The sequence below is a fragment of the Homo sapiens genome, chromosome X, assembly GCF_000001405.40.
Source record: "Homo sapiens chromosome X, GRCh38.p14 Primary Assembly".
NCBI lineage: Eukaryota > Metazoa > Chordata > Mammalia > Primates > Hominidae > Homo > Homo sapiens.
Genome location: NC_000023.11, coordinates 24,836,073 through 24,851,165, shown reverse-complemented (window position 1 = coordinate 24,851,165; position 15,093 = coordinate 24,836,073). Strand labels below are relative to the sequence as shown.

Here is a 15,093-nt window from a genome sequence, read left to right as displayed (position 1 = left end):
TATTGCCTTGAAGGAGTTATAGCTTAGTATCCATTTCCCAATGCTGACTTTGAGACTCTATTCACCAACACTGAAAAGGAAACTACTTTACTGGCAAACTGAAGGGAGGGCCAAGAGGAAACACAGCACAGTTTGGTATCCTTCTAAATGGATGTGAGAGGGAGAGCATAAGACAAAAGCTTCCAGATGAATACCTTGGAGATACCTTGAAAAGACCTGGGCATCACGGCCCTGGCCCAGGTCTGAATCTCTGGTGTTTCTGAGCACACAAAAGGAACACAGCTGAGCCATGTTCATTCACTATGTCTCAGATTGGAACAGTGATAATTAATAACGAGCTCTCTCTAGGCACTTTCTCAGCACCTTAAGTGCATTATCCCATATAGTTCTCCATCCCCGACAAAAAACTTAGGAGGGTGGATATCCATATGTGGGAAATGATATGGGTAAGGGAGAGACTACGGCCCAAGCTCAGATCTCGTCAGTGGCTCTGGGGGTTAGTCCTCAATAGGCAACAATATTCTCTGCAGTTTCAGCACCTCAGAATTTGGTGATGGTTCCATGTTAGTCCCCCAAAATCATGCTCTAGATCTGAGCCTCCCCAAACCGGGTTCATGTCATAAGATTATGATTAAATGAAATAAAAGAGAAAGGGGTCTTCTGATAAATGTAGAAAATACAGGTAAATGTTAGTTATTCTACGAAGGATAAAAGTCAAGTGGCATAAATGGCTGCATCTGAACTTATTTGCTTATTAGAACTCCTTTACAACAATTAATACTATATACCATGATAAGCTGCTTGTATAGAATACATAGCTGGCATGTTTTAGGGAATTGGATTTGATCTGTTATTCACTTAGATTTGTACAAGGATAAATTACTTACAATGAGATTCTATTCCAATCACCACCAGTCCCTTGTTTCTTAATTTTTCTGTGAGAACATGCCATGGCATAGCAGCAAAATGTTATACCTGACTCAAAATGAGCTTGCTTGACAACAACGACAATAACAACAAAAATCAGCCATTCATGAATAAAAACATACCAACCCTCCATGAATGGACACTGGTGTTAGAATACCACATTTAAGGCCAGGCATGGTGGCTCACGCCTGTAATCTCAACACTTTGGGAGGCCAAGGAGGGAGGATTGCTGGAGGCCAGGGGTTCAAGACCAGCCTGGGCAACATAGTGAGACCCTGTCTATACAAAACTTAAAATAAAAAATTAGCTGGCCGGGTGTGGTGGCTCACGTCTGTAATCCCAGCACTTTGGGAGGCCGAGGCAGGCGAATCACGAGGTCAGGAGATTGAGACCATCCTGGCTAACACGGTGAAACCCCGTCTCTACTAAAAATACAAAAAATTAGCCAGGCTTGGTAGCAGGTGCCTGTAGTCCCAGCTACTCGGGAGGCTGAGGCAGGAGAATGGCGAGAACCCAGGAGGCAGAGCTTGCAGTGAGCTGAGATTGCACCACTGCACTCCAGCCTGGGCGAAGAGCAAGACTCCGTCTCGAAAAAAAAAAAAAAAAAAAATTAGCTGGGCATGGTAGTATGTGCCTGTAGTCCTGGCTACTTGGGAGGCTGAGGCAGGAGGATTGCTGGAGTTCAAGGCTGCAGTGAGCCATGATCGTACCACTGCACACCACCCTGGGTGACAGAATAAGACTCTATCTCTAAAAATTAACAATAAAAAAGGAATAAACATAAAGAATATCACATTTTAAAAATGCAGTTGGTATCCCTGACATTCATTTATGTTTGGCTTCCCAATCAAATACTATGAAGCGAAAATAAATACTAATTTTCAATATGTTCTTTTCATTTGGTTTTAACAAGATTTAGGATGAGTTCTATGGATTCCTAAAAAAATTATCCTTCTTCAAGCGCTGCTGGGCAGCATGGATTGGGCTGCCTGTGATGTTGAATGGGTGGGATGGATATCTATTGCTTCTTTGTATGCCTTTGTACCACTTATAATTATGCTGTTAGAGTCTACAAAAAAGAAACCAAATTTATTCTATTTAAATGTTCTAAATATAAATGCAGAAGCAAGGAAATAAACAATAATTCCAAAAGTGCTTAAACTTTTTGAACTAATATACCTGTGATTCTACTGCATATTGCAACCTATAACCTAAAAACTATCAAACCACATCACCACAGGTAAGAAATGAGAAATTTTGAGGGTTATTGAACACTGCATATTTGCAATGAAACTACAGTAGAGTTACTGAATGCCACTGCATGGCTCTAAAACTCACAGGTCCACCTGCACAAGATAGCTCTGTTGAGAAGTGAAAGACAATGGAAATGAGAAGCCCTGTTAGTGATTTACATGGGTGTGGGCAGGAGGGATAGAGTGGGAGGCTGCTTCATCTCTAATTTATCAGATTTATTTATTTAGTTTTGTGCATTCCTAACAAAATTACCCTTTTTCAAGTATTGTTGGGAGCCATGAATTGTGCTTACTTGTGATGCTAAATGGGTATTTTTGTGGAGCAAATATTTTAACCAATATTTTACCCTGCCCTCATTGCACTTTTGATAAAAGGCAGCTCTAATTCAATCCCTGGCTTAACAACATTATGCTTGGGGGTTGTTATTAATTTTGTCTTCAAGGAATGCATATCCACTTTAAAATTTTAAAGTTTTTTTGTTTAACTTGCAAAGATGAAAAACAAGCTTAATATGGAATCTTCATACACTACAAAACATCCTACTCTACTTCCTGGTGTGTGGCCTCGTCCAAAAGAACTCACAGCTACCATGCTAAGGCTCAGCATCATTGGTCAAATGCTCTCTTCTTCCCTAAGTGCTTAAACGTGTGCATAAGGAAGTTTTTGCATCATAAGGCGACATACACTGCACATTATTTTTTAAATTCCTCATAAATGTGGGTCCAAAAGAGATTTTAAAATGTGGCTTATGACACAATATACTAAGAAGTAAAAGAGAAAAATACAAGGAGAGAACAGAAAGAGAGTAACAAAGCTAGGCATCCACTTTCTTTGCCACGTTATATAGAGATAGATTCTTCTATCTGGACAATGAAAGTACATTTAGGCTAGGTGCTATTGTGCATCATGATGATATTTCTGGTTAATGCCTCTTTGCCTGGTATTTGGTTTGGGGAAAAAACAAATTAAAGCTATTGAGTTGGGGACAGGCATATACTGAAATGCAGAGTTGTCAGTGCCGTAAAAAATAGAAAAGTAACAAAGAGCTTTATTTGTCATGGCTTTCATGACCTTAAAATATTGTAGAATTTTGTGTTAACCCAAGAATCCTGTAGGCCACTAATAAGTCTTCCGCCAATCTGACAGCAATGTAAAAAAATTTAAGGAAAAAACAGCAAAATATAACCTTTACTTGTCAGTTCCTTGGCTACTAAACATCAAGATACACGTACTTCTGAGAGCAAGGGCTGTGGCAGAGATCACACATAAAACAGAAAAGAAAGCACAGCCCCTGTCCTCAAAAAGCTTAATTCAGGAAAATCCTGAGATTATAAAGCCTACAACAACTTTCTATGGAGTGAGACCACCAATTTCTGGCCCTAGCAACTATCAGAGGTTATCATATGCATGGTACCAACAAGCTGTTCATGTGTTCTTTGAGATGGAGGGCCAGCCCCATCTAGGGCCAGCAATATCGCAATGTTTAAAAATCATAGTAAAGTACTCATATAATGTACAAGTGGCTAGAAACACTAGAAGGCTGGTGGGGAACACACTTTACCCAATCAGAATACTCTAAAACCTGCATAAGCCATCAGTGAAAATTTAGGAACGTATTTGAGTTGACTATTACGATTGCATCTTCTAGAGGCTCCACCGTTAGAGGCAAATGGCTCTTTAAGTATTAAAATGAGAGTTTAATATACTTTAAAAAGAACAGTACTTGAGATGAATGTAAATGACCCAATATCCTCCTCCCAGGTACCAAGAGGGGTCACATTTCCCATTTATCAGCAAGTCATCAGGATAGGCCAGCTTCTCAATCTCAGACTCTCTTCTGTGGCTGCTTCTTGGATGGCTGAGGGGAACACTTCAAAAATGAACCAGCTAAACAAACTTCCCAGCAGCACTTGACAGAGCTACACCTATTCTTCCCATTTCCAAAGCAGTGGAGAATTAATTACCAGTTCTATGGATCTATTGTAAGTATAATAGACTAAAGAGCTATCACAGACACATTTATTGTAAAAGCACAATCCCAAGAGTGTCTAGTGGAGGGCCAAAACGATTAACACAAATGCTTTGTCAGATCAAAGATAAAACCTGCACCGCCCAATTGAGGAATGAATTAGAACAGTGGGTTATCTTTCAAATTAACCAGGGCAGTTAGTGAGGAAAATTTCATGAAAGTGTAATTCTTAGCCTTTGTGAATCCACACAGCAGGCATTCTGCCAGCTGACAAGATGATGAAATTTTCATGCTTAAAAAAAGCCCTCTTCATTTCCCAATTTAGATTAGCTAGTGTTTCTCTCCCTTTTGTGTGTGTATGTCTATTTGCTCTTCTGGAGCAGAATTTAAGGGGAGGGGGAACACATATCAATTTTTCACTGTAAAACGGAATCTTTCAAAAACAACCCTAAAAGCTTAGAGTTATTGTCTTTAAGCTGCCTTTTTATGATTTTCAAAAAATACCAGTTCAATTTTAACTTTATACAAAGGAACCAACAAGGACCAGGGCATGAAATCAACTTAGAAATAAGGCTTTCTGTGCTACCTCGAAGTCTTTCAACACTTCATCAAATCTCAAGACAAAGCACAGAGTTATCTTCTTCCTAAAGAAATTAATATATTACTTAAAATATCCTGGCTCAGTGCTTTCTGTATTTCTATGTATATCAAAGTTTAAATGTTATAGGAAACTAGAATTCAGGGAATACAATCATTGCTACAGATGAGGAGCAAAAAGCCTCTCCTCTCCCATAAAGGAGCCAATATTTATTAAAATATTATGATGTGATACAGTTTGCTTCTCAGATAAACTTAAACAAATATTTGTTATATCATATTTAGTCAGTCCTGTTAATTCATGACAGAAGGTAACAGAATGTGATGTACTTTTCCAAAATTAAAGTGATTTAGAAGTATACTTTGTTACCCCAAACTTTTGTCCCTTTTTTCTTGACAATCTAATTTCTTAGTCATCTAGAACTATGCTTCTTCGCAGGTTATAGTGTTTGGTCAAGTACCATATTCCATTCATCTTCCTGGAGTCCCTTTCTCATGAAGATACCTTCCTTTCTCAGTGCAGGTTGACTTCTCCTGCAGTGCTTCTAAGACTAAAATCAAAACAATATTGAGATTCTTGCCTTCATTTCACAAACAACTTTTATGTCCAGTGGGTAGTATTTTTTAAGTTGCTAAATAGGAGAAAACCATTTTGGTAATTAGCTTCAGAGACAATCACTTAACCTCAATACTTACTATCAATATCCTTACCTCAGTACACTTGCTAGATTAGTCTCCAATTGGATTACCATCACCATGATATATCACACTGAACTAATAACTGTAATCAGTATCACTCAAGGCACAATAACAAAAGAAACTCAATGCCATGTACCTCTAGGAGGAAACAGGATGGTCTACCAATAAAGTAGAACCTAAAGGTACAGGGGCTTTTTGTACAAAAGCTCTGATCTGGAAAATATTTGAAATATTTGTTTAGCATGAGGCCATAAGAACGAATAACGGATTTCGTTCTCTGCCATCCAATCACATATAATTCAGATCAGAAAGTAGAGAAATAAGTTCCTAATTTTCAAGACAGTCATATCAATTTTTAACCCCAGGAGTGACATATGGCTATTTTGATCAGAAATCCCTTAGAAATGTCAATCAAGTGGGCAGTTAACTACAAAAACCTGTTACTTGATGTTAGTGAGATGGCTGGCAAAAAAACAATTAAAGCAAATGCTCTAGAAACCTTGTGTTAAATATCTGGATCCCTAAAAGTAGGTTATTTAGCTTGAAAAATACTTATATAACCACCACCACAACATACACACAATTAGGTTAGAAATCAGTCTTTCAGTCAGGGCATATTTCTAGCTATACAGAAGATCATTTTTCAGAGTATTTGCAACTTAGTCAAAACAGACTATTCCCTCTTAAAGAAGGAAATAGATAAGTTTCTTCTAGTATTAACATTTCCATGGTGAAGATCTTGATAGACTAAACACAGAGAGAAAGCTCAGAATTCTTCCCAAGAGTCAAGCAAGGATCATACTCTGTTCAATGAGGCCTGTAAATGAGGAGCTGAATAGTTTTGATTTGGCCTAAATTTTCATGTGCTGCACATCTCACCTACTGAGGAATGTGACCCCACAGCCAACTTTTATTCCCATCCACTGTTCAGTAAGGGCAGCACAGGATTATTCACTAAAATGTTTCAGATTTTCCCAAAATGTAGTCATAATTATTATTTTTTAATAATCTTTAGGCAAACTGACTTGCTTTTCTGATAAATATATTCAACACCAAAATCATAATACTGGAACTCTATGTTTTTACTCTTCATCTTAATGATCTGATAGTTACTTTTCACATAATGAGTTCTATTTTAAAGAAGAAAATGCTATTATATGTTAACTAATACGAGTAAAAAGTACAGAACAATCTTTAGAAAAGTCATAGGCCTTAACTAAGACATGAGCTTTTTTTTTTTTTTGAAATGTGTTGCCAATGTAGCTTTTAAAAAGAAGTTACAGTAAACTTTCAAGTAACAGAAAATTTGTTTAGATGACAAATGACATACTGAAACACTAAGAAAAATCACGTGGGAAATGTGAAATTTTTAATTTTTGAAGAGAAAAAAACTAATTCATGTGAAATGCGTTAAAAACAAAAACTCTGAATAAAAGCCTTCTTTCCAATGAAGACAAATCACTCACTGTTCTGGCATTTTTACTATAAATTTATAAAAATTAGATATTCTCTTTTGAATGCCAGAAAAACTGCATTTAAATTTAAAAGATATTTGATTTCCTCAAAAAACTAGGGTATGGAGTCGTTTAGAGTGCTACATAAACACAAAGTATTAGTTTTGTGTGGGCAGTCCACTAAGATCACTACACACGATCTTATGGCTCTACTTGCTGACAATAGCCAATAGTGATTTTTTTCTTCCTTTATCCAAAGATCTAAGCAATCATTTAATTAGTCTTATTTAGGTAACAATAAACTAAAACATTTCTTAATTATATTCTGGCTTTTTCTAAAAGAAGTAAAAATTTCATTATTTAAAATACTGCTCGTAAATGAAAGAGATGTAATGCCTGAGAGAAATTATCAAATAATTTGTCATGCTAATATGCCAAAATTACATACTTTATCATATTTGTATTAATAGTATTTCACTAGGAATTTTTCCCAAAAGTCTTTTCAAAATTTTAGTTTCATGAAAACCAATAAACAAGTACCAAACCTCAATAAGTTGTGTATGTAAGAATATCATTATGGATACTTACATCATAGTACTTTTTAATGAAACGTCTAATGTCCATGATCAATTTGTTGCTCAGTTGTACTGTAAAGGTCAGAGGTGAAGCCTTACAATCGATGTTACTGCAACGATACAAGCTGGGCTCCATATCTGTTCCCTACATAAGTCAGGAGAAGTATACAAAAAATTACTGTGAGGCTATAAAAGGGTTTTTGTGCTTAAAAACTTACATGCTGTCCTAGTGTTGAATATTCTTAATTCGTTTTATTGGTGAGTTGTTAACCCTATCTTCTCAATTATTTTCCTCCCAAAGACCGCTTTAGTCATACATACCTTCCATTCCTTGCCATCATCATAATGGAGTGCAAAGTCAAAGGGAAAACCCTGAAATCACTATTTTACATTCACTATACGAGGGACTCTATGGATAAAATAATTTTCCCTCTGTAAATACCAGTGAAGTCATGTTACTGGAAATAAACCTCTTTCTCAGAGATACTGATTAAAAACTTTAAATTTGTATTTATTCATTACAAACTTGAAGAAAAACAAGAGCCTTTATCACATTAGTTTGTTTTCATCTTGTCAAGTTAATTTTAAAAATAAAGTCTAAAAGTTAAAAGTGTAGTACCACAAAAACAGTATCACTTACTGTCTGCTTAGCAAATCTAAAATTTTGGCAATTTTTCCAAAAAATGAAGTGTATTGGGGGAGGGAGGCAGGAGAAGTAAAAATTTGAAATAAATAAATATTAATATTTGGAGAAAACATTTTGTTTTGTTGTGTTTTGTTTTAAACAAAGACAAGGCAAATGTAATATATAGCAAAACTGTTGGGATTTCTGAAGCATTTGTTTTCCTTTCTGATACTTAAACATCTTGGTTTCCTGCTCCAATCTGGTACATAACCCTACCCGCCACGCTAAGCAATTCCAGGTGGAAGAGATTTCAGAGCTTGACATCGGCTCTTCCACAGTTAGCCCATCTGCAAGTCGTCAAGCCTCCATGCAATTAACTATCTTATTTACAGCTGTAATGAAGCAAAACTCAAGGATTTAGCAAGTATTGCTGATCTGTGTCTGCCTCTTCCTTGCACTTGCTTCCAAAGACTGCTTTGTTTTGATTCAAAAAAATGCAAAACATCTGCTGTTTGTCCAAATTAACTTAAAATAATTACTTTTAATTTAGATAAAGGGCGTCTTTTCTTTCAGTTTCAAGGTTTTACACAGTTCTGCTGCCTATTCCTTTGCCAATGGCTAGTACATGCATAACACTGCAGTGGAAATCAAGTAAATTGGCCAAGTTTCAAGCTCTGATCCAAGGTCAATAATACATTTTTTGGCAGTACTTCTTGAAAGGAATGTCTCCCTGTGACTTTTTAAATGTCTAATATGCAAAGACAGCAGAAAAGATAAGAGTACCTTTGCAAAATGGAGGTAAGTGGGATGTGTAAAGACAAACACAAACTTTCCCAAAACACTTAGTTCCCAGTAACTTGATTTAAGATAAGGAAAAATATTGGTCTAAGTCTTAATAGATGGGGGTTGACAGTGGGACAATACAGGTTACTAATTAAGAAATTATAATAAAAATACTTTAAGATAATTTAGAATTTTTAAGGGATTCCACTTAAAAACCAAGGTCAAGCACTCTAGGAAGCCAAAACAATATTCAAGCACATTCAAGTAAGAGTTTTCAAACAGAAATAAAAGCAAGCTGTGAAGGTAGATTTCACATGATGCTAAAATTCTTTAAACACATGAAAGCAACATGTGTGTGTTTATTTCGCCCTTTTTATATACCCCATAGTGGGGGAAGGGGGTAAGGCCTTTATACAAGTTCACTCACAAAATGAAAGACAGAAACAACTAACCGAACCATCAAAGACATTATCATAAATATTCTCAGTTCCACATGTAGGGCATGGACATTTGAATCTTTCACAGTCCCTGTATTTCTCTTCATCAGTGAGCTGTGCTGGGCCACCAAGTAGAGCATCATTCTCTTCATCTTTATGATAATGATGAACTCTAAATTGGGTGGGGTCAAGTCCTATTAATGTAAAAGAAAAAAACAAATTCAGAAAAGTATTCCAAAAATACCCCAAAGAAGAAAACTCCCACAAAAAATTATTTTAAATTCATGCACATACACACAACCATTTGAACTCAAAAGCACATGGACAAATGACTTCTCTTTTTACAAGAGATACTTTATAAATAAAACAAGTAACTGCAACAACACAACACAGAAATATGCCACTGAACATATGGGTTTGGAAGCACCTACTTCGATAGGATGTTTTTTATTATTCTCTTAAAGTTACAATGAAAACCTCAAATAAATGTGTACTAAGAAATTCTCTTAAAATCAAAGTCACAATTAAAACTGAGAATAAAATCAGGGAATAAAAATCCCATTAAAGAAAACAGGTTCACTGCCATTACAACTCCTTCAAGTGCAGACACAGCTAACCCTGATTTCAATGCAGTAGTCGATTTCATCTTGGCTCAGTAGTTAACAGCATGTAGGTTGCAATCTAATTCAGTGGTTAAAATTCAGTAGCAGCATCTGAGACAAAATGCAACATGGTTTTCTTGATGTTCGAAATTCAGAAATTTAAAATATGTGCAAAAACAATGGGTCTACAGATTCTACAGGCCAAAATGTCCCTGAGAATCCTGAAACCAAATATACCTTCCATATTTCATTCAAAACAACATAAGAAATCAATCAATGCATGTTTATGCTATTTTGTTTCCACAAACTAATTAAAGAAAAGAAACATTTTTAGGCCAACCAATTTAATTTACCCTTGGTCAAAACATGTGTGCCAAAATTTACTATTTGAATTTATACTTAAAAATAATTATTCTACACTGTTTCTTAGAATTTTAGGGATTGCTAAGGGATGCTTTCAAGAAAAGATTATAAGAGACAATATTTCTATCTTTTGGAAATCTAAGGAAAAGCTTTTGGAAATCTAAGAGAAAACTATCTTATTTTAGTATAAAGGTAAATAAGTAATATAAAACAGTCACTAAGCCAAAAGCTCACAAATACCAAAAATATCTAAAAATTGTTTAAAATTTATCAACAGCTACATAGGTAGATAAATCTAACAGATGCATTCAGAATTCAGTGACAGAATCCTAAATCCTATTTGGTCAGCTGTCAAGCGACATCTAGTAATTATAAAATACTGGAGGCTGACTCTTCACAGTTGAAAGGGGCCAAACAAAGAATAAGACAACTGAGACACAGAGTCTCACTTTTCTCACCTGCGAAACGGAGGTAGCATCACTGATCATACACTTTTGAAGTTTAAATTGGATAATATAGAACAAACCGAGTTCAACGCTGCCTACTGCGTGGCAAGCACTAAATAAATGTCATTTCAATGAAAAAATAAAATAGTGAATGAACATCATTTAATCCAGACTGTACTCGCTCAAGATTATGCATTTAGAAAACTATATGAGACATGTTCATGCTGCATATGAAGTTAATAGCTACTCGTTGTAGGAATTAAAGTATTTCCTAAAGTGGTAGTATATGATAAAAACAAAGAATACACATTCAGAACAATTTGAAAAGCTGTTCTTCATTAGTGACATAAATTATGTTAACATGGGCCACTTGTCACCAAGACACTATACATTCTTATTTTACAAGTTACCTAACCCCTAAGAGAAATAGTAAATTAGAGAATTATGTGGGAATACATATACTCTCACATTTAAAGCTAAGGATGGTCAGAGGAATTGAGAGAGACCACACCGCTGAATGAGGCCAGTTCATCTCTGTAGTGAGGGGTAACTGTCGCTAATTCAAACTCTAGTTGTGAATCCAAGTATTCACATAATGTTTTGATTTATTTGCAATTATGAGAAAGCAGCTTCACTTTTTCTCTGACCCTATGACTATTAATCAATTTCCCAGGCCAACACTAATCAAAAGATAAGGAAAAAGAAAATAAGCAAGATTTTTCTAAAAGGCAAGTTTCTTTCACAGTCCAAAAATAAAGGAACAAAACAATGCTGGTTTGCACATATACAAAATTGGCCAGGCTACGAAAAGGAACCAAGAGGAGCTACTCTCTACCCCTCCCCACCAGCCATGGCTCACTTGGTGCACCTGAGTGCATGAACCTGCAAGCACTGACCCGGGACAGCCTGCCTGCAGAGTAAGCTAAAAGTGGGTGTGGGCCATCTTGTTACTTACTCATGGAGAAACACCCAAACGACTGGCTGCAACTTGCGAAAAATACCAGGCCCTGTGAAATGTCTACTCTAAATGTCTACCCTAAATATCCATTTCTACAAATCACTCAATCTTCCCATGGCAGTAACAAAGTCAACTGGCTCAGCTAATTACTTCAGATTTATTCCCAAGGTGATTTTTTTTTTCCCCAGGGGAAGGAGCTTCAATCTCAATAGTCTCTTGGTCATAGTTCAATGCTAAAATGTAAAAATATAAAGGGAGAAGAGACTGTAATGAGCTTAAAATATTAGGTATATAATGATCCTTGTACAAGTTACTTAAATACCAAAATGCCATTAAAAAGTTATTTTCTTGGGAGAGCAGTTATAAGTTCAACAGGCAAACCACAGAGGGCTAAATTAAATCATTTTAAGAAAACATACAATGTCATGTTAAAAAAGTAAGGATCATTGCTGCTGGAATCTTTTTTGAAAAGGTGAAAATCCAGGGTTAAATAAGCCCCAAACTTAGTCAACACATACATTAGTTTTTCCAAATTCTCACAAAACTGGTAACAGCAGCTTATTTCGAAGTTTCAGTAGACTTTAAAGTTTTACTGCTTATACCCTAAACTCATTAAGTCTGGAGTGAAACAAGAAACAAGTATCTGGTGCTGCCACCTACAGGTAGAGATTCTGAATTTTAAAATGTGCAAAACAGCAGCTACATATAATTCCATTTTTAATTGTTGTCACTCCAAAATTAAACACTTCTGTCAAAAATGACATTAAAGCAAAATCTTTATTACTGCACTTGCCCTACATGCATCTACACCGTATAATTAATGTTACACTGCGTACATTAGTCTTTGAGCAAGAAATGCAAAACTGAATCCCAAATTCCTTATTGCTTCTACTGAAAGCTTTCTCTGAACTGGCTTAAAGGAACAAACTTTATGCCCCATTTGAGAAAAGTAACTTCCATTTCTTTTAGGCTAGCTCTTGACAGGTGACTTAAGTCTTTTGGTGAGGCACAGAATGAAGGAAGAAGCAGCCTGCCTGGGCTTTGCAAAACTAGTTATCTGGAGGAAGAGCAGCCGTGGTTTCCCCCCAGAATAGGCTGAGATGATGTATGCTTTAATTCAATTATGTGGCTTGTAGTGATGGACTCATTTGTGCTGGGGTTGAGGGTACAAAAGAGGCAGTGGAATGAAATTAAAATACTGTCATTTATAATTAGAAAATTTCTAGGATCTCACATTATTTTGGCAACAGGATCAAAACTCTCATGTTTCAAGAAGTATTTATAGAAAGTAACATCATAGGCATCAGGGTGTATGAGTTTAGCAGTACTGTCTTTACTTAAGTCACCATAGCCTTATCACACACACCCCCAGTGTGACATTTAGCACAAAATTATTTTTCTACCATTGCACTTTCTAACCATTGTAAATTATGCCTGTTTTTAGAATGTTCACCTGCCCCCACTCCCAAGGAGTTTTTAAACTGTTCATAACTTGAGACATATTGTTATTAGAGAGGCTGATACATTTAATCAAATACTTTCCTTCCTTCAAAAGACAAGGTCTCTATTAGTGCAACAGCAAATAACTACAGTAAAACCCTTACATATGTTCATGCAAGTGGGGAAGAGGGAAAATCCACATAAATGAAATTCCAAATGAGTAAAGGGAGTAACTGGTATTTACAAGCAGTTGTTTGTAATATGGATCATTTAATCTATGAGGGAAGCTAATTAACAGAATCCCATTGAGTGAAATTTTTTTGTAAAAATTTCTTAGAGGAAGTAAACCATTTATCTTTTGCATGAGTCCAGGCTTTCATATATCTGGACATCTTAGAGGACAATATGCGAACTGAAAATTTAGTATGATTAAAGAAAAAAATAATTTTCAAATGGTGAATGCTATATCCACAGAATGCTCATAGCAGCTTTATTCATAATAGCCAAAAATGGAAACACTCTAGATGTCCATCAACAAGTGAATGGATTAACTGGTATAATCTACCATAATACTACTCAGCTAATACTACTCAGCAATGAAAGAGTGAATACTGCTACATGCAACAAGACAGATGAATCTCAAAAATACCATGCTAAGTGAAAGAAGTTGCACACAAAAAGAGTATATACTGTAGGAAACCATTTATACGAAAATCTTGAATAGGCAAAACTAACTTATACTGATAGATTTCAGATGAGCGATTGCTACTATAACAGAGGTGCTGACTGGGAAGAGGCACGAGGGAACATTCTGGAGTGATGAAAATGTTCTGTGTCTGTGCCTAGATAACTGATTGTATAATACTCAAGATTTTAGCATTTTATGGTAAATTATGTGAATTATACTCTTAAAAAGCATGCCAAATAGGAAAAGATGTTTGTGTAGGTTGAACATCCCTAATCCAAAAATCTGAAATCCTCCAAAATTTGAAACGTTTTGAGTGCCAACATGATACCACGAGTGAAAAATTCCACACCTGACCTCATGTGATGAGTTGCAGTCAAAACTTTGTTTCAGGCACAAAATTTTTTAAAATATTGTATAAAACTGCCTTCAGGCTACGTGTATAAGATGTATATAAAACATAAATGAACTTCATGTTTAGGCTTGGGTCTCATCTCTAAGATAGCTAATTATCTATATGCAAATATTACAAAATCCGAAAAAATCCCAAACACTTCTGGTCGTAAGCATTTCAGATAACGGATACTCAAACTGTAATATATACTTCCAAAAGACTCGTAATTAGAACACATAGGAAATGCCTGCAAATCAATAAGAAAAAGAAAAGCCAACAGGACAACAGACAAAGACTTGAACAGGCACCTCACGAAAGGAAATACTCCAATGGCCAAGAAGCATGTGAAAAGGTGTTCAACTTCATTAGTCATCAAAGAAATACAAATTAAAACCACAACTCTATGCCACCATGTAAAATGAAGATGGAAAACACTATCTTACCAAGTGTTGGTAAGAATGTGGAGCACCCAAACACTGCTAGTAGGAAGTGTAAACGAGTAGAACCGCTTTGGAAAACTGGCAGAATCTACTAAAAGTAAACATACATGTCCCTGATGGCCTAGCAATTCTCCTTAGTACATCCCCAAGAAAAATACATGCTTACGTTTGACAGAGGACCTGTACAACAACTCTCAAAGCAGCACTATTCAAAATACCTCAAATGTGGAAACAACTCATAGGTGTACCTCCAGTAGATAGCCATACAGTGTGGTATATTCAGACAATGAAATATTATACAGAATTTACAGAAAGGAAGGACAACCACATGGATGAATCTCACAAACAATATTCAGTAAAAGTAGTCTAGACACAAAGAACAAAGACGCAATTTGTGTAATATCCCCAAAAATCCACCTCATCTATGTTATTAGATGCCAGGTAT

The 15,093-nt window shown here is 35.9% G+C and overlaps 1 protein-coding gene across 13 annotated transcripts in view; it reads right to left on the bottom strand.

Moving 5' to 3' along the window:
- The window catches only part of POLA1 (DNA polymerase alpha 1, catalytic subunit), a 303,069-nt gene that overhangs the window by 145,821 nt on the left and 142,155 nt on the right, over positions 1-15,093 (bottom strand). For 11 of the 13 annotated variants that reach the window (NR_165483.1, NR_165482.1, NM_001440806.1 and 8 more), the window contains 2 exons: positions 9,336-9,514; positions 7,489-7,620 (listed from right to left, as the gene is read on the bottom strand). Coding sequence is in view for 11 of the 13 variants with exons in the window: in NM_001440806.1 (NP_001427735.1) it covers positions 7,489-7,620; positions 9,336-9,514 (311 nt within the window). In the remaining 2 variants the exon portion in view is untranslated. Of the gene's footprint in view, positions 1-3,857; positions 5,299-7,488; positions 7,621-9,335; positions 9,515-15,093 lie in introns of those variants that run through there. The other 2 variants (XM_011545540.4, XM_047442180.1) reach the window with 1 other exon arrangement.